Source organism: Homo sapiens, chromosome 7 (genome assembly GCF_000001405.40).
Source record: "Homo sapiens chromosome 7, GRCh38.p14 Primary Assembly".
NCBI lineage: Eukaryota > Metazoa > Chordata > Mammalia > Primates > Hominidae > Homo > Homo sapiens.
In genome coordinates this window covers 127,210,989-127,235,572 of record NC_000007.14, presented here as the reverse complement: position 1 = coordinate 127,235,572, position 24,584 = coordinate 127,210,989, and the positions used below count along the sequence as shown (strand labels likewise).

General features: G+C 41.2%; 1 protein-coding gene and 1 long non-coding RNA gene across 14 annotated transcripts in view; one reads left to right on the top strand and one right to left on the bottom strand.

Moving 5' to 3' along the window:
* The window catches only part of GRM8 (glutamate metabotropic receptor 8), an 814,344-nt gene that overhangs the window by 17,369 nt on the left and 772,391 nt on the right, over positions 1–24,584 (top strand). The gene's annotated exons all lie outside the window — the stretch shown is intronic.
* Positions 5,652–20,446, bottom strand: GRM8-AS1 (GRM8 antisense RNA 1). Of its 2 annotated transcripts, NR_110194.1 has the most exons (3): positions 20,320–20,446; positions 15,871–16,106; positions 5,652–7,200 (listed from the first exon to the last, which is right to left on the bottom strand). It is a non-coding gene; the product is annotated as a GRM8 antisense RNA 1 (long non-coding RNA). The 2 variants fall into 2 exon arrangements; NR_110195.1 differs by lacking the exon at positions 15,871–16,106.

Here is a 24,584-nt window from a genome sequence, read left to right as displayed (position 1 = left end):
CAAGTTACTTCCCTTTGCTCTTCAAATTTGTTTTTTGAAAAACAGTTGAAACAATGCTAGAGCCTCATCCGAATACTATTAGCTCTAGAATGAATTTTGGTGGTGTAGGGCCCTTTCTTGGACCAACAAAGGGGCCAGATGAGTGAATTGCTGAAAGCATCTTGCTGTAAGACAGGGTCACAGGACACAACATTCCAAGTCATGTCTCTTCGAAACATGCAATAACTTAGAATCAGCATGGTGGTCATATGCTCAGACAGTTCAGGGAGCACCATGACTCTTGGGCGGAGCACATTTTAAACTTGGTGAATTTAAATTTCTTTTCTTTCCCCTAGCCTTAAATGGCCTGAAATCCTGAAGTGAATACCGAAGACATCTTAAGAGCGTGCTTTTAGTGATAAATGCCTATGTTTGGGGTGTTTTAAATAATGAGGTTGTTTGAAAAGTAGTGAGAAGTCTTTCCATAAGAATGGTTTGTGACTGGATGTTATATATTTTGGTTTACAAAATTGTCTGAAAACCTTTCTAGAATAAGTCAGGGTCTATGTAAATAAATCTGCATAAGGAAAGTACTGTGCTCTTTCTACCCATTCACCCTAGAGACTGCAGGTTTTTAAATTTTATGGACTTCACTTCAGAGCAGTTTTAGGTTCACAGCACAATTGAAGACTGCAGCGGTTTTAACACAGGTGTCTTCCTGGGCTCTTCTCATAGCTGTTTGCAACCAAAGGTAATGCCTTCCTAGGAAGACTTAAAATCTGAAGGCTGTCCTGTGCTCAGTCCAATGGTTATCACACTGTAGCATGCGAGAAATCACCCAGAGTGCTTGTTGAAACACGCGTTCCTGAGCCCACCTGCAGAGTTTCTGATTCAGTGGGTCCGGGGAGGCCCGGGGTGGGGTCTGAGAACTGCCATTTCTAATGGTTCCCAGGTGATGCTGATGCTGCTCTTTTGCACATCACACTTTGGAAGCACTGCTCCATACAAATTGCTTGCTGGCTGACTTAGCAAGTCAAAGTGTGCAAAACAAAAATGAGATTTAACAGTGTTCTGTCTGGCAGCAGCTTTTTTCTTTTGACACACACCTGGTTGGATTTCTGTTCATATTGGTCATAATCACAGCAGCTGTTGTGTGGATTTATTTTTAATTGTGTTCATTTTTGAGTTGTGTTCCTTATTAAGTAATGCATAGCTCATGAATAATGATCAGTGCAATGGTCACTTAAACACAATTTCTTAAAGTAGGGTCAGGCAGATTACCATTTTACACATTTTTACTACCTGAGACAGTAGAGCAGACTGATTTAAGAAACTTAGATTGTAAGATATACATTAATTGGGAATTGAGAACAGTAAAAGATGAAAGAGGCTATGATTTGTCTCAGCTACCAGCAATTTGTCTTCAGAAACCATGACAGCTACCTCCTGATTTCCATTATGCAATGAGATTGCAAATAACATTCCACAGCAGTCTTAATCAATAGAGGGTCACAAGAGGCCCTTGCTTCCCCACAGTGGGAAAAGGGCTTATTTACCCATTTAATTGATATAACACACTTTCTGGCAAAAGAGACATCTCTTTTAGCTGTAATTGGGGGCTTTTCCTATCCCCAAACACTGTCCTCACAACCTGCGTCTACACATCTAATCTTTATGTATCTTGAATACATAAGGAACACCAGGCTGGCAAGGTGTAGGGGTCTAGGCATAGCATTGTGCACAGCCACTGTTATCTGTTTCTAGAATGAGGTCAGTCTCTGCTGTATTACTTCATTAGGCTCAGCAAGCTAATAGACATGTGTTCTCAATGTTGGCCATTAGTCTCCCTCTAAGACGCTTCAAGGCTCCCTCTGGGATTAGGGAGGCTGGTTTCCTTGGTGTAATACAGCCCTGGCTTAGTCCCAGCTTCAGGGACACCATGGATCTGTCTCTGTATCTCCTGCAGTGCCACTGAGGCTTCTTTGGGACATGTGGATGGTGACTTATTCTTGCTCTAGTGTCTTACTCTTGCTTCCTCTCACATGGATTGAGAGTGACCTCTAGCTTTGACTAGTGCTTGTACTATTTCTTTATGTTGTGGCAATTTTATTTGTTAGTTTTCAGAGTGATTTATCGTCTCATCTCAGAGTGTTTGAACTTATATTATTTCTAGAACAAATACCATGTCATACTGATGTAAATTTCTTAGATATTTGCGACTTATAGATATTATGTTTGTTATTAGGAGATGTCTGTTCAAATTATAGATTATTTTAACGTATTTATCTAGTGGTGCTGATACTCGTGAGTAAAATAGATTAATATGAATTATATGAAATAGGTTGGGCTCTGTAGTCAGACTGCCCGAGTTCAAACTTTGACCTAATGCTTGTTAACTGTGTTACCTTAAGCAAGATAATTTATCTCTCTAATTCTTAAGCTTTCTTATCTGTTAAACAACCCAGGCTGGGTGCGGTGGCTCACACCTGTAATCTCAGCACTTTGGGAGGCCGAGGCAGGTGGATCACAAGGTCAGGAGTTCAAGACAAGCCTGACAAACATGGTGAAACCCCGTCTCTAAATACAAAATTAGCTGGGCATGGTGGCATGTGCTTGTAATCCCAGCTACTCAGGAGGCTGAGGCAGGAGAATCACTTGAACCTGGGAGACAGAGGTTGCAGTGAGCCAAGATCGCGCCACTGCACTCCAGCCTGGGTAACAGCAAGACTCTGTCTCAAAAACAAAACAAAAACAAAAAACCCCAGTTAATAATAGTACCTTTTTCATAAGGTTTTTAATGAAGACAAGTAAGATATAGTTCAGAGTCCTAAGCAAAATCCCTGCTCCATAGGAGGCACCATAAATGTTTGTTATGATGATGATAATGAGGAGGAAGATATTTACATCTGCTATTAAGAGGATATTCATTTTGAGTGGTACCTCTCCTCCAGTTTCTCAGCCATTCAGACTGACTTGCCCTATTTTGTGAACAAAGGCAGATTAGCATTAAAGGTATAGTCATTGGTCAAGAAACAGAACTGATGGGCCAGGTGTGGTTGCACACACTTGTAATCTCAGCACTGTGGGAGGCCAAGGTGGATGGATTACTTGAGCCCAGGAGTTCAAGACCAGCTTGGGCATCTGAGACCAGCCTGAGCAACATGACAAGATCCTGTATCTATAAAAAATACAAGAATTAGCTGGGTGTGGTAGCATGCCCTTGTAGTTCCAGCTACTCTGGAGGCTGAGGTGGGAGGATTACTTGGGCCTGGGTGGTTGAGGCTACAGTGAGCCATGATCATGCCACTGCACTCCAGCCTGGGAAACAGAGTGAGACCCTGTCTGTCTGTCTGTCTCTCTCTCTCTCTCTCTCTCTCTCTCACACACACACACACACACACACACACACAAAGAAGAAACAGAACTGATGGCAGGTCTAGATTGGCTCTGGCATAGGGCAAGCCTATCTAGTTTTCTTGAAGGCCAAACTTGAGACTAGGACTTCATCAGCTCATGTTCCAGCCAAGTGAGCTAAGAAGGTGGTGTACTGCTATCCTTCCAAATCCATGTGTTGGGTGGTAAGAGTCAGTTTTATTCAAAAAATGGAAGACCCAGAGAAACATTAGTTTTCTATTTTTTTAAATAAAGTTGCAGTAAATTTTAATATCGTTTCAGCGCCAAAAGAAAAATACCCTTAGGATTCAATTGTTTAAAAAAAAAAGAAAAAGAAAAAAATCACCAATTCTGGCTTACAGAGGCCACAGGTTTGATGGTGGAGTTGTGGTTGAGCATGAACAGCTGAATAACCCCAGGGGTGGGTGGCAGCCCTCAAGCCTGTCCTTTGGGTTGGAATTCCCTTTCTTTTCCATGTGTGGTAAGGACAGAAACACAGGCCTGCACCAGATGAAGAATGTTACCTTTTGTTGAGGGAATAATTTTTTTTTCTGCCAGAGATGGCTGACATGACACTAATTCCTATCATCTCTGATACAAATGTCAGAAATGAAAGCACTAAAAGGCTTCAGAAGTACTTGTTCTAGAAGTCACATTCATTTTAGGACAATCAGAAAAACAGTGGAACTAAATGTATTCTGATTCACACTATGACCTATCTTGTGCCACCTGTTTAAAATGTGACTAATTCAGTCAAACATATCAATTATGCCCTAGTAAATTCTCATTTCAATCAAATATGGATAATTTGCTCAAATGTAAAAGGACTTCACAGGGAAAGAAATCAGTGCAGAGTTTAATGTGGTCTAGTCCTATCCTAGCATTGTGAGGCAGTGCTGAACAGTGCCTGGTATAGCTTCTAAACCCAGTAAGTGCTAAATCTTTTTTTTTTCCCCCATCAAGAGAAGTAGAATAGTGTAAGAGATGCTAGCATTTAACCCACCTATTCTCCTTCTGTAACTTAGTAATACAGGTAGGCAGGTGATATTCAATCAACCCACCAACAGGTCTATGCAGCATCCCATAGGTATATGCCGCATGTTCGACATTGTAGTGGATAATATGAAAGAAAAGAAGACTCTAAGCCATCAATGTTACTTGTACTGTAGTTGAGGGGAAATGACCAAAATCCTGTAAAATAACCACGAGCAATATAAAACCGTGTAAAAAGGGCTACAGTGTGGTCCTGGGGTTTAAAAGAGAGGCTGACTTCATCCAAGGAAGCTGCAGTTATCAGCCAAGGTTTCTCAATCAGCTCTGTTATAGGCTGCTGCAACAGAATACCTTAGACTGGGTGGCTTAAACAATAGCCTTTTTTTCCCCTCACATTTCTGGAAGCTGGAATTCTGAGATCAGGGTACCAGCTTGGTGGGTTCTTGGTGAAGGCCCTCTCCCTGGTTTATAGATGCTGTCTCCTTGTTGCATCCTCACATGGTGCTGAAAGAGATAAGAAAAGCTCTCTCCTGTCTCTCCTTGTAAGGGCGCTTACAAGGGCTCCACGCTTATGAGTTAATTACCTCTTAAAGATGCCATCTTTAAATACCATCACAATGAGGGTTAGGATTTCAACATGAATTCTGGTGGGGGATACACATTCATTCTATAGCACAAGGCTTCATGCAGTAATATGGGATTGGGCTGGGCTGGGCTTAAAGGAATGGATAGGAGTGTGCAAACTGAGAGGCCGGGAGAGGAGGAAGAGTCTTCCAAGACTGGGAATCCTGTGAACTTTTACCTGATGCCAGCTCATGTTCAGCTATGTGGGGGTGGAAGTATGTGGAAACCTCTTTCCCTCTCACAGCATCTCTCTGCTATGACAAAACTTCAAAGGATTATTTTAGGAGTCTCTAGGAGGATTAAAAATGGGGAAGGTTGGAGTGCTGTGTTCCCAACTTCCATTGGACACAAAACTGGGGGTCCCAGTAAAAACCCAAGCCAGTGAGCACAGAGCACCCAGAGGGCACAATGCTGTACCCTCTTAATCAGCATTGTAGAACAGCTAAACAGGGGTGAATTGCTGTTGAATTTAAGGAAAGTGTTATCAAACCTAGGAGAATCCCTCCCCCCAACCCTTTCCCCATCCGTTGCACTCTGGGAATCCATGTAACTCAGGATAAAACATTTTGCTTTATTTTTCATTTGCCACATGCATATCTTGACTGTTTACACGGTTATCATTCAATGTAGATACACAATTAATTGCTAAGAAAGAAATTAAATGCATTGTCAATGAATTTATTTTATTTACTTCATTCCAATAAGAAAAGCCACCATTCTTGAGGGGCTCACGGTTCTTTTCCATTTTCCTAACCCTTGAGTATACAGGGAGTAATCATACCTACACTGTCTCAGTTTCAAAAGGTGGTCGTAGATCTCAGCAAGGTAAAAATTTGAGATTTGACAATATTCCAAGTGTAAAGGGTTTTGATTTGGAAATAAATTCTGTATTGAAAATGGCATAAATGATTATTTTTCTTCTTTATGCTGCAGCACTTTAACTTGTAATTTCTACCCTGGTTAACCCCACCTATTTAAATGAGAGCTCAATGTGAGATCTTTTGTTGCCTTTGAAACCACTGGATAGAATTTTAAATCCTTGGATATTTTTCCTCTGCCTGAGAAAGGAAGATACAGGAAATTTCATTTTTTAGTTTGGATAGCTTTATTTCATTTATATTCATGTAGCCCAGGCATCTAGTGAGTTTTGCTGGTGTATAAATTAATATTTACAGGTAAAACCTTGCTGAAAATAAAATAGATTAAGTGGAGAATGTTTTTCCCACAGCTTTCGTCTCTAACAAAAATGAAAAAACCCAGCACCACTCCTTTACCGAATGCCCCATCTGTCAGCTCCTTGCTGCTCTGAGCCAACATCCTCTCGGGATTGTTTGGGGCCAAGGGTCTGCATGTGGAGCAGGGTGGGTTTAGCACATGCTGGGAGAATAGGGATTTTAATTAAGACTTATATTTACCCTTAAATATTTCTGTGAATTATGGAGAACTCAAATTAAAACCTGTATCTTTGGACTGAAGTTACAGTAAAATTTCAGCCTCTGCTGATCAGTGGTATGCATAGTATGTGATAAATTTTTTCAGATATTAAATCACTGATCTAAAATATTGTAGTGGTATAGGATTGATGAATAAATATTATTTTAACACCTTATTTTTAAAAAATGTTATGATGTTTAAATTAATAGCGTTAATATTTCATTCCAGTAAAGTGGTACAAGTTTAGATTTTGAAGTAAAATATCTGCATGATAAGAATTCCCTCAAAGAATCTATGCCCATCTAGAAAATGGTTCTTATGAAAGAAGACAGTTTTGCATTGTACTTTGTTTTAAACAACCTAGAATGAAGTTCTAGTAGTAGAGTTCCATGGTTTTCAAATAAAATGGATAATACCCTATGATTCATGGATATTGGACATTTTAAAGATGTTTTAGGAAGCTTGGCACTAAATAGTTTTTTTTTTAAGTGATTATTTTTCCTAATTCTCCAAATGCCTGGAATCATGAAACCTTAGAATTGGAAGAGACTTTTGAGGTTTTCTTCTATAGCCTCTCATCCAAACCAAAGTCTATTCAAGTAAGACCCTTGATAGGTGGTGATTCAATGCTGTCTTTGTTCTTCGATTTGAGTTAAACATCTCTCTGCTCAATTCTCCTGTCTTGTGCATCTCTTTTTCATGAGACAGTCCTTCAGGTGTTTGAAGACCCCGTTCTTCCTGAGCCTTCAGTTCTCCAGGCTAAACATCACCTGCTCCCTGTAACAGAAACAGTGCAAGAGGTAATGTTTATTGACAGCTTCCCATATGCCAGGCACTATGCTAAACATGTAACACGCCTGATCTTATTGGATCCTTACAACAATTCTGTCAGATAGGTATGGTTTTCAGATGAGGAACTGAGGCTTATCTAAGGTTACATGGAAAGTAAGTGGGCATGTGATATTCAAACCTATGTGTCTGATGGACTCAAAAGTCCATGCTTTCAACCATTGCTTTTTACTGCCTTTTAGATGGTATGTTTTCAAATTATTTCTGTATGGTTTCCTTTCTCTAAACACAGTCCTGCTGTTAGTTTAACCCCATTCTAAGTTAAAATAATTTTTCCTTGCTATTCTAAAAGACTGCCTTTGAGCAGGAAAATTAAGCCTTTTAATGCAGAAGACTTCAGCTCTGTAAGCCTCATACTCTCCGTATATCGCTGGCTAGAATGGCAGATGGGCTGGCCAGCACACCCATGGTGGGCAGTGGCCTCAGTACAAGGATGGAGTCTGACTGCCTGTGACCCCATGTATCTTCCCTGCTGCCGGAATGATCACATGGCTTCCAGAAACGTTGTGTTCCTTTAGCAGCATTGATGGGAGCTTCCTATTGTTCCAGATGTTTTCTGAGGAGGATACTGGATAAGAGTTTGTATTATTACAGATGGTCAGAGCAGTTTATGTATCAGGAAGTTTTCCATGGAAGGAAGAATATATCCAAAATTCTATTTTGAAGCTGATGGCAGGATGTGGTGAACTTATTTGGATGTTAGGGAAACACCGTAAACACCAAAATAAATACTTGTGGTTTGCGCTTACTCCTTTCCCAAACTAAAATAGGACCTGTGACAGCATTTCCTGAACACATGAGATCAAGCTCTAGATCAAATGATGAGTTGATAAAATGAACATATTTATATTAAGCTTTTCATTTGCTTCTCGTTTCCATGTCTAGAATCTAGAGTCTAGAATGGTTGGATGGATGTATTAGGACCAGGGTGTGTATGATATTATTTATGTCCGAAGAACAAACTACTCATTTTCACCTCTGTGGGGAGAGACTGGAGTTCTAACCATGTCTCCTGTACCTTGGCAGAGGAAGAGTATTGGGTTCTTTCAGCCACTTTTTTGGGGGTGGACTTGGTCGGCAGCCCGACTTATCCATCCTTGTCCCAGTTTCAGAGCCTCCCAGTGGCGCTGCTGAGTTTTCTCCCATCACTACAGAGTCCGCCTCCTTCCTCTGTTAACCCTTGCGATTCCTTTCCGAGGCTCCTTTAACCTAAACTTAATGTATTTGACTCTACCTTTACTTTGAAAACACTTTTGATCTTTTTTAGAGTTCCTCTAAGTTTTCCTATTAGATAAAAACAGCTTTTTATACCTTTTGTTTCCATGGTAATGAATTCCAGGACTGCTTTAGAAAACCACTAGCTTTGTGTGCCAGTGGAAAGTTGCAGCATTATGTACTAATACAATAAACATCAGCCCACCCGTAGGAGGCGTGCAAGCCGGTAGAAACACTGTAGCACCACAGTCATGAAATGATGTGAGCATATTATTTTTTACTGCAAAAAGCAGAATTTGGAACATGAGCCCTGCATTGCAGGCAAATGGTTTGGGAGCTCTAGCATGAATTCTAGTGTTCACTAATCAGCTCAAGACAGAAAGAGCCAAATTAACTTGAGGCGTTAATTTTCAAATTTAACGTTATATTGAAACCATGGAACCCCATTTCCAATTTTTTTGCAACCTTCCTGAGTTTTTACAAGTGCCAGTTCTGCTCTTAGGAAGTCCTAGGTGGGAGAGGCTTCCTTGGGCAATTTACTTTTTGGTGTAAGGAAGATTGTTTCCAAAAAATTCAGGGAAATCTTCCTGGTTTTGTCTGCAAATATACCTCTTAAGAATCTCAGGTACAGATCAGAACTCAACAGAAAAATCTATTAGAGTTGGCTAAAGACAGGGCAAACATAAAAAGTAGATTTCCTGGGAAAAAATCGAAATATTTTTATAAAAGGCTATAGGTTTTTGAATACGTGCAAGGAGAAGGAATAATTGGAATCTGTTTTTTGTCAACCCTGACTCTGCCCTCTACAGCCTTCTCTTTGTTATATCATGGGCTGGGGGAGTGAGAAGCAAGAGAAAAGGCAGAAAGAACATGAGAGGTTGGAAAGAAAGGTTAGAGGTGTGTGCTAAGTTGATTGTGCTAATTTGAAAAGAGACAATGAATCAAAGCTCCTTTTTTCCTATTGTAGATTTTAATATTTAAAGTTACCAGTGCCACTACTGATTATATTAAGATGCTTTTATGTTGATCTGATTAAAATTACATTTGAAATAATGAATGACATGTAATGTACAAATACCCTTATATTTGGAATAATGAATGACGTGTACAAATACCTTCCCAGATATATGTATTTTTTAAAGTGTAAACATTATCAACAAGTGTAATGAAAGTTTTTAGAAGCATTCTTCTAGGAGGTACAAAGTTAAGGGTCTAGAAACACAGCAGCACACGGTTTACTACAAGACTGTGGGGCTATCTTCTTGCCTGGAAGGATTCAGGACTCCTGTCCCTAATAAAATTAAAGGGAGGTTCTCTGGAACTTAGTATCTGTTTTGTCTTAGTATTTCTAAGTCAGAAAATGCCTATTATAAAATATCTATATAATATATAGTATATATATTATAAATATATAATCTATCTATTATAAAATAGATATTATATCTATCTATAGGTAGAGTTTACCAACGCTGACTGATTTGTACCCAGCTCATTTAAGCGTTTGGGGCACTGCTCCAAATTGTTGCGTTTCTTTCTTCCCCCTGACCTAGCTGCATCAGATCATTCTCAAAGACACCTTAGTTCCATTTTTTTTTTTTTTCCAGCAGATAGGTTGCACACAAAGCATAGCTTTTGGCTTTTTGTAAACAGAGTGCAAATGTACTGTTCTCCCCCAGGAGGGAAACTCCACCATGCTGAAGGTGAGCTGAGACCCTGAGCCTTGACAAGGAGCCACTTTGGGTGTGCTGGCAGGTCAGCCTGCGGGCTTTGAGAAGAGCCTTCCATAAGCACCAGGGCACACATTCACCAATGCAAGGCAAAGCTCTGTGGAAAAGCCTGGTGGGTTCATCCCTGTCCCACCCTAGATGTACCCCCAGAACAGCAGAAATGACTGTGCTCCCCACCTTGTGAAAAGGGTCTAGTTTTAAAGTGACCCTGGCAGAAGGAGGGGCAGATGCCTCCATTCCTCCTCTTCAGTTTCTCCTTGGACCTTTTCCTGCTGTTCTGTGGGTTCTTTGAGCATTTTATAGAATCCAATTTTGATTTATCTATATTGCTTTAGAGTGTATCTTTTGACATGGCTTTTTAAACATGTAGACATACATGATTTATCATTGCCTACTATTATTGTCATTTTATTAGGTCCAGCGAAGTATAGAAACCTAGACATGGGCCAGGCACAGGGGCTCACACCTGCAATCCCAGCACTTTAGGAGGCCAAGGCGGGCAGATTGCTTGAGTTCAGGAATTCAGACCAGCCTAGGCAACATGGCAAGACCTTGTTGCTACAAAAAAGTAAAAGAAAAAGAAAATTACCTCCCTTTACCCTTCCAATTATATGATTGTCTTATTTCTTTTGCATACCTTGAGAACTGCATTAGACAGTGTTATGATTTTTTAATCATCAACTGAATCTAGAAAACTCAAGAGGAGAAGCAAAGCAAACTCGATTGTATTTATATATATTTTTGCCATGTTTTTTTCTTCCTTCCTGATGTTCTGAGACATTCTTTCTTTTATCTTTTCCTTTTTGTTTAGAGAACTTCCTTTAGTCATTATTTTAGGGCAGGTCTCCTGGTGACAAATCCTCTTAGTTTTTCTTCATCTGAGAATGTCATCCCTGAAGAATATTTTCTCTGGATATAGAATTTTGGATTGATAGTTCTTTCTTTCAGCACTTAAAAAATGTTGCACTGCTTCCTACTGGCCTCCTTGGTTTATTTTGCGAAATCCTCTGTCATTCAAATTGTTCTTCCCCTATGGCTTCATGCATCATTTCTCTCTGGCTACTGTCAAGGCTTTTTCCTTTGTCTTTTTGTGGGACTGTGATGCATCTTGGTGTGGATTTCTTTGGGTTTATCCCATTTGGTGCTCAGATTCTTGATTCTGTCTTTTGCCAACTTTGGAAAGTTTTTAGCCATTATTTCTTCAAATGCTTTTCTAGCCCTACCCTCTTTTTCCTCTCCTTCTGGGAGTCAGATGACCTACCTTTAACATCTTTTTTTTGTAGTTCAACACGTCTCTGAGGCTTAGTTCATTTTTTTCCCCAGCCTAATTTATTTTGATTGTTTATGGGTAATTGTTTTATCTGTAAGTTCACAGATTTTTTTTGGCCTCTGTTCTCTTTATTCTGCTATTGAACCCATCCATTGAGTTTTTTTTTTTTTTTTTACATTTCATTTATAATATATTTCAGTCCCAAAGTTTCTACTTGGTTCTTCTATCTTCTGTTTCTTTGCTGATACTTCTCATTACTTTGCTAGTTCTTTGTAGTTTTTTGTTTCAAGAACATTTATAGTTGCTCTTTGAAACCCATATCCATCTGGCTGCCAGGAGGAGGAGTCCTGTTATGGTTCTCCATGTGACCTCCACTCCCACGGTTGGAATGGCTTCATTACTGCTGAGTGGTGGCGGGTAAGACCTGATTCTCCACCAGCCTCCTCTGACACCTTTGCAGCCACATTGCCACCTAGCAGAGATGAAAGGCCAGCCTCCACACTCAGCCTCTCAGAAACTATCCTGGTGGAGGTGTTGGGGCTCCTCACTACTGTCTAGGTTCCCCACTAGGTCTTTGCTTGTATGGGTGGGTCCACAGTTTTGTGTGTGTGTGTGTGTGTGTGTGTGTGTGTGTGTGTGTGTGTGCGTGTGTGTGTGTGGTGTGTTTCGAGTAGAGTGGTTATTATCTAAAAGTTTTCATTTTTTTCTTCAATCTAAAAGAAGCTAGGCTGCCCCTTTCCTGGTTCTTTGGACAAAGAGAGGAGCTTTTTTTGCTTATTTGTTTTTGGTCTATGTGTATTGGTGTTTCCAGGTTGCTGGCTTTTCAGGTATAGATGAGGAAATACATGAGGGAAAAAGAAAATTCAGGAACTCGTTGCCATGTCATTCCCTGGGTCCTGAGGTCCTTAACCCACTTGGCAGCTCCCCACCTTTCGGTGTCTTCTTATGCTTGTTTTAGATCTAATGCTCAGTTTTTAGCTAGACTTATGGGAGAAACAGGGAAGAGAACATTTACTCTGCCTTCCTGTCAAAGCCCCTCTTGATCCTTACATTTGTCTACACCAGATGCTCTTCTTCTTGTTCCTCTCTCAAGGTCAGAGAACAGGGTGTACTTTTGAGAACGTCCATTAATTCTTGTACGAAGCTTAGCTTGGAACAGGAACTGCTGCAGGGTAGAACCAGTCTCAAGCACTGGAGAACAGGAGGTAGAGGTGGTGAAGTGGCCCAGTCACTTGCTTTGTGGGTAGACAGACCTGGGTTCAAATCCTGTTTCTACCATGTATTTGTTGCTTAACCTTGATCAAGTTATTTAACTTCTCTGACCAGTATTGTCCCCACCTGTTGCAAGGATTAGAAGGGACATATTTCTGGTGCCTGGAACATATTGGGCACTATACATGAATAGCCATTATTGTTACAAAGCAGGTTATAAGTTCTCCGGATATTTTGTCAATAATCTGATCTCTGCTGTGAAAGAAACCAGTGCAAACTCATTTTCTAGGATGCTGTTTTATGTAAACAAGTCATAGTTAAATAATTACTCCAGAGTGACAAACCTTTTTAATTTTGTATCCAGATAAGAACATCAGTTAGAACATGTAGCAAGAACAGTGATTCCTCTGAGAAAGTAGGGTAGAGTATCTTCAAAAGCAATGGGTGGCTTGTTGGTGATTTATGTTTTGAGACAGGGTATTACCCTGTCACCCAGGCTGGAGTGCAGTAACGTGATCTCAGCTCCCCACAGTCTCCGCCTCCCGGTTCCAAGGGATTCTCATGCCTCAGCCTCCTGAATAGTTGGGGCCATAGGTATGTGCCACCACGCCCAGCTACTTTTTATATATTTTTTGCAAAGATGGGATTTTGCCACATTGGCCAGGCTGGCCTTGAACTCCTGGCCTCAAGTGATCCACCTGCCTTGGCCTCCCAAAGTGCTGGGATTACTGGCATGAGCCACTGCATGTTGGTGATGTTAATGCTGTAATGAAAACCCTCATTCTCTGTTTAAGAGATTTCACCATTTAAGAAGCAAATTAAGGGACACTGTGGGGGCATTTCTCTGCTCCCTAAGGAGCACCGAAGACTAAATATTTTAGGGAGTGTTATGCTGCTGATGACCTCAGCTTGATGATTCACTGACTTCAGAGTTTCTTTCAGATCCTAACTACAAGTCAGGTGAGAGCTTGAGAGGGCAGGAGGGAGGGACTTGGTGCTTCTCTCAGGAGGAAGAGTGGACTTCTAGGCTGGAAGGGACAAGGGATATTCCTGACTGAGGGACTGGATTGAATGTTGATGGGCTCTGGATAAAGATTGTCATGGAGGCCATTTGAGCACTGTGGGGCCTGGACCAGTATACTTGCTTGGAATGCTCAGAGAGAACCCCAGTGTCAGGTTAGATTCCCTAGAAGCAGAGCTGAATATAAGAGAATCTTAGCAAAATGAGTTATTAACGAGCATTCTCAGGAGAAAGGATGCACTTTCAGGTGAGGCCCATTCTGAGCCTGATCCTGTGGATGCTCTGAAGCATCAATCATAGCAGGGTGTGTTCTTCCTTGAGGCAGGAAAGTAGGAATTTTGTATCTTTGCATCAACCAGTCTTGAGCTACGGGCAACCTGGTCCTAAGTGATAATTCCCGGGCATACTTGGGCAAGGTGGCTATATCACCCAAGAGTGGTTCTCTCGAGAAGATTAGAGGTGTGAGGTTAGCAGTAGCACTGGTGACAGGTGGAAAAGGAATACTGGGCAGGGCTCAACGGGGTCTACAGCCCCAGGCTTCATCGGTGGTACCATGTGAAAACCACTGGCCTGGGTAACAGGAGGCTTGGCTTGTACTCCTTAATTTTCTTTATGACCTTGAGCAAGTCATTCAGCCTCTCTGCCTTACATGTAAATGACAAGATTGGCATAGGTAGACTTTTAAGGCCTGTTTGACTCAGGTGAGTTGATTGAGAACACTTGATTTAGTAAGAGCAGGGCTTCCTGGCCTATGGTTGGACAATAGGAACCTTCAAGAAGAGCAAAACAGGGAAGTATGAAGTTACTGCTGCATGGCTAGTGGCCCAGGCAGGTGACTTTGGGGACTTGGAAGTGAAGAGGCTTCCTTACCTTGGGGGCTAGGGACCAGAATTATACCTGCATGGGCCAAGGGTGGAAGGGCTGCATGGCTTGGTGACCAAGGGGACAAGAAGGAAGACCATGTGAAGGACTGAGCCTAGAAAGCAGATTCTGGGAGGAGCCAAGCTTGCCTCAGTGGTTACAATGGGATTTACTCTGGTAAGAAGTTTGACTAAATATGTTCAGCGGCTGGGGCACAGTGGCTGACACCTGTAATCCCAGCTACTTGGGAGGCCAAGATAGGGGGAGTACTTGAGCCCAGGAGTTTGAGACCAGCCTGGGCAACATACTGAGACATTGTTTCTACAATTTTTTTTTTTTAAAATTAGCTGGACATGGTGGCATGCACCTATAGTCCCAGCTACTTGGGAGACTGAGATGGGAGGATCATTTGGGCCTGGGAGGTAGAGGCTATAGTGAGCCATGATTGCACCACTGCACTCCAGCTTGGGCAACAGAGTAAGACCCTGTCTCAAAATAAATAAATAAAACATTAAAAGAATGTGTTCAGCATCTGAACTTCAGCTTTTTGTATTCTGTCAACATTTTTTCTTGATTTTCATTCCATTCTTCATTAGATGGAAGGCTTATTAAAGATCCTTTTTTTGTAATTTGGTAATGTTATTAGTAATATTTTAAGATAATTCCTTGACTTGATAGTTCTTTTACTGCAGCTTTTGCCCTGGTCAGTGGAGGAGGCATATGATATTGTATTTTCATATATGTCCATGTGCTGGAACTGGACAGCTCTGGGGGCTAGTGAGAAAAGATAAAGTTGGGAAGACCTTAGCGATGTCAGTCCTGGAGCTGTTCGAAGTTAGTGGAGCTCCTCCCTCTACTGCAGACAGTTTCCTTCTCTAGGATAGGGTTTCTGATGAGAATATTTCATTGTTCTCTAACACAAGTAGTCAATGTTTTGCTCAGTTTCTCTTGCTGAAATAATGGTATAGATTCAGTAGGTTGGGGCGGTAGGAAGATTCCAGTTTGGTGCAGCAAAAGGAAAGTCTTACCAAGGAGTGAGGTGCTTGTTTGCTGGCTCCTGCAAAGTTCAGGTATTGCTGAGTGGGTAGATCTTTTAAGAGGAGGAGTCTGTTTGCTCCCAGGTCAGCAGATCCGTGGTGGTCTGCTGGGGCTTGTGCCCCTCAGATGCCTTGTCTCCCCTGGGTGGAGCTTTTGGGGTGGGTATAGTGGTTCATGGGTACATCGCTGAATTTGCATAAGGCTAGCATGGCAATGGACTCTCAAAATATCTGTGGTCATAAATAGGAACTTACTTAAAATTTTAGGCCTGGGCAGGAACATCACTTGAGGCCAGGAGTTTGAGAACAGTCTGGGCAGCATTGTGAGACCCCCACCTCTACAAAAAAATAATTAGCTGGGTTTGGTGGTGCATTCCTGTAGTTCAGTTGATCAGGAGGTTGAGGTGGGAGGACCACTGGAACAGGATTTCGAATCTACAGTGAGCTAGGATCATGCCACTGTACTCCAGCCTGGATGACAGAGTGAGACCCTGTCTCAAAAATAAAAGAATAAAATATTATGCATTACTCTAAAACTAGTTTTATTTACAACGAAAAAGTAATTTTAAGTACCTCCTTAGAAGATTTAGTAAAAATATGACCTATGGAATAATTTCTGTCATGAAAGACAAAAGTTCTTTACTATATTTCTATCTTGAGGTAACTATTGCTGTATTTCAGTCTTGAGGTAACAGCTGACATTCTCAGGATGTGGCTTCCTTCCTTGGCTGAGATGTCACCTGGACAGATACAGATATCACCATTTGCTACTAATGATGATTGATGTTGTAAAAAAAAAAAGTTCTTCTATGTCAAGAGGGCACTTGGAAAGCAGGCCATAAAGAGCAGTTCTCACCATCGGAAAGCATTTGTTATCACTCATGCTTTTATGTGGCAAACACATTGCAGTTCTTGGCATAATGAGAGGCAGGTTTCAGGAGTTACTGCTGCAACCAACTCTTACCTGCCAAACTATAAAGACAAACTATTTTGAGGATTAAAGGATGGGATCCCTTTGTGCTTTGTGGAAGCAGAGCTGAAAGGTTCATAATGACAGACAGAACCATTAGGAGGCATGAAAGAAAAAGAAGCAGCAAGGCTGAAAGTGTTGTGTGCTAGAAAGGAGTTGATGCCCTTTGAACATTCAAGTTCAAATAATGTGCCATACTTTATCTCCAAAGACAACACTACTGACCCACTGTCAGTAGACCATGGGCTGTGGGTTGCTTTCCAGCAGAGAGGATGGATTTTCTTCAGTTCCGTCTACTCATGCTTGACAGAGATTTCCTTTGGGACAAGTACCACGCCCCAAGGAGCCCAAGCCTGGAGAAAGGGAGGCTGGATCATCATGGCTGACGCTCACTATGCACCAGGTTCCCTTCTCAGCATTTTACTCAGTTGTCCTTCACAACCAAGCACCCTATGAAGTAGCAATGCTTATTATCCTCACCTTACATTGAGGAAACTGAGGCTGAAGGAGGCAAAATAACTTGCCCAAGGCCACACAGCTAGTAAATGGTACAGCTGGGATTTGAACTCATCAAGTCCGATGCTAGAGCTGAATGAGGCTCTTAAGCATTGTACCCTGCTGTAGTGTAGTTAGCAGTTGGAAACATGGATGCTGGAGTCCAAAGAACATGGATTCAAATCCTCATTCCCCAGCTGGTTGCTATGTGAACCTGGGCAAGTGATTCAACACTGTTGGGGCAAGAAAGGAAGTCAGAAGCCTGGGACAAATCACGACACATAAGAAGCACTCAATGCATGCTGGCCACTGTTAGTGTTTTGGTTATTGTTTTGTTTTTATCCTGGAACAGAGCGAAGCTAAGAGGTAGTGGTTCTCTCCTTGAGGGTGAATAAGAAAGAATTAACTGGGCATTACCAATGTTGACAATGTGGATTTCTGGGCCCCACTCATGAGAGATGCTAATTCAGTGGCTCTGGGGGGTTGGATGGTAAATGGTTGGACCCAGTCACCTGCATTCTAAAGAAGGGCTTTCAGTGATATGGAGCGGTGGACTTCAGACTGGCCAGAGGCGGCATGTGCAAGGCTTTGGAATTTACCAAAATTCAGAGCTTAATTTTATAATTGATTTGTTTAGCTATAACTGAGTGACAGAGTGGAACACTGATATTCTGTAGACTATCTCTTAATCATTAAAAAACAAAAACCAGCACAAAAGAAATCACCAAAAGGAATCAATATGTTTTACAGTTCCAGTACTGGCCAATTCAGAATGTGTGCTGGAGCAAACACGGGAGTATCTAACAGACCTGCAGAGATGGAAGGGATATGAGAGACCTACGAGCCACATCCTGGTTTTATAGCTGCTGAAGGTGGGGGCCCCCAGGGGTAGAATGACTCTCTTAGAAACCATATGATTAGTTAATGGGAAAGTCTGAAACAGGACTTTGATATTTGGCCACCTGGACATCTCTGGACAAGAGGCCAAAACTGGAACCCTTTGGGAAGTTCTGATTCCCTGAATTCAGGGTGATAGCATGAAGTAAGGAGGAATCTCACAGCTGCTTGTTGCTGCATGTGCTTTTTCTGTCTGGATGCTTTTTTCCACCATGCCTGCCAGTAACTTCCAGCTTTTCTTTAGGGTCTTTGGTAAGCTGCCTTTTCAAGGACAGTTTCCCTGCCTGTGTCCTTCACTTGCTCCCAACAGAGTTCATTATGTCCCCTTTCATCACTCCTGAACCTAACGGCATTTTTTGCACTTAGTTGATGTTTTTTGTTACTGTCACCTTTCCTCTGATGCACTTAGGTAGTACAAGTAGAGCCACCCTCCTATTTTGCATGCTTGCAGACATCACTGACCATTTATCCATTTATGTATTCATCCATATGTATACCACAGAGCACCCATTACATATGCCAGGTACATTTAGAGAATATAGAGAAAAGTAAAGAATAAATGAGAAAATATACAAATAACTTGATAATTTAAGATACTGATATGGACTGTGAAGAAAATTTAAAAAGGGTGATGTGACAGATAAATGATATGGTGGGAGAGATCCTTTTTACAGGGTCTTTAGGGAAGGGCCCTCTCAAAGTGTGTCTCATTTAAGCTGAGACTCATGATGAGAAGTGGGACCCATGTAAAGAACTAAGAATATTCTAGGTGGGAGGAAGAATATGTGCAAAAGAGCTAAAGTGAGAATGAACTAGGCACCTTTGAAGAGCAGAAGGAAGCTAGTATGGATAGAATGGAGTGAACAAGAGGAAGACTGGGAGACAGGCAGGGCCACATCTGGGAGGACCTCCTTGTAGGCCACAGAGTTTGGATTACAACCTGGGAGTAATGGGAAGCTATTAGAGGTGCTTCAACAGGGAAATGGCATAGTGGGGTTTGTATTTTAACAGATGACTCACTAGTTTAGACTTGTCCTCAGCTTCTTCTTTTTTTTTTTTTGTTTTTTTTTTTTTTTTTGAGACGGAGTCTCGCTCTGTCGCCCAGGCTGGAGTGCAGTGGCGCGATCTTGGCTCACTGCAACCTCCGCCTGCTGGGTTCAAGAAATTCTCCTGCCTCAGCTTCCCAAGTAGCTGGGATTACAGGTGCATGCCACCATGCCCGGCTAATTTTTTGTATTTTTCGTAGAGACAGGGTTTCACTGTGCTGGCTGGAATGGTCTGAATCTCCTGACCTCGTGATCCTCCCGCCTCGGCCTCCCAAAGTGCTGAGATTACAGGCGTGAGCCACCATGCCTGGCCTCAGATTCTTAATACAATGCTCCAGGCAATCTCTACTTATTGATCAATTTGCACTTAAGGCAAGAAAATTTTTAGGCATTCTAGCTAAACTCTTTGAGGGCCAAGTTCCTGTTTTAATCACTTTTGTTTGCCTAGCACTTTGTACCTTGCAAAGAGCAGATTCTTGGTGAATATTTATTGTATGAATGAATGGTTTCTGCATTATTTGATCCTTTGGCATAACAAAGTGGCAAAGCTCTCTCTGCTAGGTGACTTTTTAGCAAGTCCACTGAATAGTAGGTGGTAGCATATTGTGAAAATGGATTGATTGACACCTCACCTCACCTCTGCTCATGTTAAACATTTTTTTTAGTTCTAGAAAATTCAGTTGTAATTAAGCTGGGAGGTAACAGAGTAGGACCTCTCCAAAGCCCTGAAATGACTGCCTCGCTAGCTTTTAAGCATCAGATAGAGAAGGCCTGTTGAACTTCTGCTTCTAGTATTATGAAGAATAGATATTTGGAGAAACTCTCCCAATTACAGACACTGAGAAATGCTGAATGTAATATAAAAAACAACCTTTTAAATATGTAGCTAAGCTCACAAAAATTGAATGTAAGTCTCTACAGAGGCAAAAATGGAGAGAGAGCTGACACCAGGGTGGTGAGTGAGGATCTAAGATATGGGCTGCCTTGGGAGTGTGTGCAGATAACAGAAACTGAAAGCTTCAGTTTTAATTGCCATACAACAGGGATGAGTAGGGAGGGGTGCATTGTGGAATGGGAGATGAGGACTTGGGCGCTGTTACAAGGTCAACGGAACTGATTAAGAGTCTGCAAAAGCCAGGAATCTTGAAGATCTACACCCTCAGTGAAAAGATGGACTAGAAAAATCCATTTGGCAAAGAAAAACTGCTATGAGAAATTGTTCTGGCCTTGGCTGGGGGTGGGGAAATGTCTCTGCTGAGAATTCTGAACTCATGAAGGTTTAGGGCTTAAACTCACATTATCCACATATGCCGTCCAGGAAACCTCAAGCAAAAGAATTGTTAAGATAATTCCAGTTTGAGAGAGACTCAGGATTCCAGCAGAATCGGAAGAGAATCAGCTTTGTAGGAATGTTCCCACAGCTGGGGCTCTTTAGAATTCTCACAGATTAAAATCAACCACATATGACTTCACAATGAAAAGTTTCCAGTTACACAGAGTAAACAAGCCATCAGTGGAAACAACAAACAGTAGAATTAGACTTCCCAAGAACTTGAATTTAAGAATTATCAGTCAGAATATAAATGAAATGTCCTAAAATGTTTCTAGAAATAAAAGATGGATTTGAAAACATGAGCAAAATGCTATTAAAAATGTCTAGGCAGAATTTGAAAAGGAAACAAAATGAAATTTTTGAAATAATTATATTCAAAACTGACAACTCAAAAAGGAAAAAAAAGGTTTTAACATCTGATATGGTTTGACTCTGTGTCCCTGCCCAAATCTCATCTCGAATTGTAATTCCCCACCTGTCAGGGGAGGGACCTGGTAGGAGGTAATTGGATCATGGGGGCAGATTTTCCCCATGCTGTTCTGTGATAGTGAGATCTCATGAGATCTGATGTTTAAAAGTGCGGCACTTCCTTCAACACGCTCCTTCTCCTGCCGCCATGTAAGACGTGACTTGCTTCTCTTTCGCCTTCTGCCATGATTGTAAGTTTCCTCAGGCCTCCCCAGCCACTTGGAACTGTGAGTCAATTAAACCTCTTTTCTTTATAAATTACCCTCTCTCAGGTCGTTCTTTATAGCAGTGTGAAAACAGACTAATACAACATCCAAATATTTTTCTGAAAATCACTGATTAGAGTTTGAGTTTGTTATACTGTTAAATTATATACAAAGTTTAAAAATCATAAGGATATACCATGATGAATTTCCATAAATTAATGTACTATGTAACCAGTATTCAGATCAAGGAACAGAACATTACCAGCATCTCATAAACCCCCTTTCTGTTCCCTTCATGTAATCTTTTACTCCAAGGTCAACTAGTATTACTCCAAGGTCAACCAGTATCCAAAAATAGGGGTGTGACTATTATGCAAGTATCCTGAATTCTTATACCATTTTAATTTTGCCTATTAAAAAGATTTTATTCATGGATTTATATACTATATAATCTTTTGTATATGACCTTTGTCTCTCAACATATGAAAAAGGATAAAAGAACTTCATATTTTTCCATATAGTTATACTTTTCTTATTTAATTTAGTATTCTATTGTGTGAATATGCCACATTCTACAGCTGTTGGGCATTTGGGTAATTTTCAGTTTTGGGCTATCGTTTTTTCCTGTTGGGTTTATTCCTAGGAGTAGAATTGCTGGTGACAGAGTATGCATGTATTCAGCATTAGTAGAAATTGCCTAATGGTTTCCAATATTTTTCTAAACCAGATGAAATCTTGTCTGGAAGTTCAGTAAACAAAACCATATTCAAAACATCAAAACAAAGTAAACATAAAACCTAATGTAATGGATGGATGGATTAACAACAGATTAGACCTAGTGAAGAAAGAATCAGTGATTTGGAAGATAAATATGAGATATTACCCAGAATGCAGCACAGGAAAAACAAAAGGATAGAAAAGGAGATTAAGAGATAAAGGATAAAATTAGAAGACCCAATTTATGTGTAATTGAAGAGAGCTCAGTAGAATGGAGTCAGGGAAAGAGAGCCTAAAATTAGCCAACTCAATATTATCCAATAATGTGAGCTACACACATAATTTAAAATTTTCTAGTGTATAATATGTATGTTTTTATTTAACCTGATATATGCAAAATATTTCAGCAGGCTGGTATGAAAATTATTGAGGTATTTTACATATGTCATACTAAGTCTTCAAAATCTAGTATATAATTTTGTACTTACAGCACATCTCAGTAGTTTAGGCTAGCCACATGTCAAGTGCTCAGAAGCCACATATGGCTAGTGGCTACCATAATAGTGCACATTTAAGGTGCACTATCTAAGGTGACATCTAAGGTGTATAAGGGAAGGTAAATTGAGTGAAGTTCCAGGCATTCGGAGAAGTGAGCCAGTTGAAGTAAGAGGACTGTGTCATGACAGTGGGAGGAATGTGGATAAGTGTATCACCGTAGAGACAGCACTGGGCTTTGGGTTTACACACATTCATATCCCTCGGTACAATTATTATACCCTTCAACATCCAGTGAGTTGCAGAATTACAGCTGTTGAGTAGTTCAGAACAATACCAAACAATAGCTTAGTACAAGAAGAGAAATCTATCTGTTGAATTTACAGAGGAGATTCAGGACCTCAGAATTTAATTGGCCTCATGCAAATTTGACCAGAAGCCTAAAGTGAACATGTGTGACATTTACGTCAAAGATCACTGTGTGTATTAATAGAAGCAGGCTGGTTGGAAGTGGTTTTCCTTTCTTTGGCTATAAGGATATGAAAACTTAACAATGAATACAAGTAGATTGTTACTTTGGTTTTTATGTCTCAGTTAAAAAATAACACCATGTCGGCCGGGCGCGGTGGCTCACGCCTGTAATCCCAGCACTTTGGGAGGCCGAGGCGGGCGGATCACGAGGTCAGGAGATCGAGACCATCCCGGCTAAAACGGTGAAACCCCGTCTCTACTAAAAATACAAAAAATTAGCCGGACGTAGTGGCGGGCGCCTGTAGTCCCAGCTACTTGGGAGGCTGAGGCAGGAGAATGGCGTGAACCCGGGAGGCGGAGCTTGCAGTGAGCCGAGATCCCGCCACTGCACTCCAGCCTGGGCGACAGAGCGAGACTCCGTCTCAAAAAAAAAAAAAAAAAAAAAAAAATAACACCATGTCCTAGTGTGCTCATATAGCACAAAAGCTGTATTATCAGGCTGTAGATCAAATACCGTATGAACTTGACCCAAATAACCTCAGACTTCCTGCGAAATTCTATGTCTGTCTTAGATACGTGACTGTAGTCAGTTGATTCATTTTCTTTGACAGCTCAAAAACAGCGAAGCAGGGCACTTGGAATCTCTGTCTAGCCTCAGCTGTTTGAAAAATAGTAATAGAATTGAAAATATATTTCTGTCCTTAAAAACACCTCTAAAGTGCTGTATTTGTGTAATGATAACACTTTTTATGCTGGCTCTGCCGGTCCAAAAATAGGGGTGTGACTATTATGTAAGGGAGATCATTATGTAAGGTTGTGACCTTTATAATGGAACAATTCTTATTCCCATACTCTAAGCATGAAACTCAGCCAAATAAATGCTGCCATTATGTTTGATTATGGGGTAATAGTGAAATTATTAGTTTAATCCAATTATCCCAAATACTGAAGTATAGGGTTGTGTTAGTCTGTTCCCGTTGCTATAACAAAACACCTTAGACCGAGTAATTTGTAAATGATAGAAAATTATTTCTCAGTTTTTGAGATTGGTAAGTCCAGGATCAAGGTGCCAACAGATTTGGTGTGTGGTAAAGACTTGCCCTCTGCTCCACAGATGGTGTCTGGTTGCTGCATCTTCACAGGGTGGAAGGAGCCAAAGCGGGGGTAAACTTGTTCCCTCAACCCATTTAAAAGGGCAGTAATCCCAGCCATGAAGGTGGGGCCTCCCAGAGTCCTCACCTCTTAATAACATCACCCTGGGGGTTAAGTTCTGTGATGGTTAATACTGAGTGTCAACTTGATTGAAGGATGTAAAGTATTGTTCCTTGGTGTATCTGTGAGGGTGTTGCCAAAGGAGATTAACATTTGAGTCAGTGGACTGGGAGAGGCAGACCCACCCTCCATCTGTGTGGGCATAATCTAATCAGCTGCCAGCACAGCTAGAATAAAGCAGGCAGAAGAATGCGGAATGACTAGACTGGCTGAGTGTTCCCGCCTTCATCTTTCTCCCATGCTGGATGCTTCCTGCCCTCAAACATCAGACTCCAACTTCTTCAGCTTTTGGACTCTTGGACTTACCCTAGTGGTTTGCCAGGGGCTCTCAGGCTTTTGACCACATACTGAAGGCTGCACTGTCAGCTTCCCTACTTTTGAGGTTTTGGGACTCAGACTCGCTTCCTTGCTCCTCAACTTGCAAATGGCCTGTTGTAGGACCTCGCCTTGTGGTTGAATGAGTCAATACTCCTTAATAAACCTCCCTTCATATATACATCTATCCTATTAGTCCTGTCCCTCCAGAGAACCCTAATACAAGTTCCAATATATGCATTCTGGAGGGACATGAAGATTCAGGCCATGACAAGTGTTCTAGA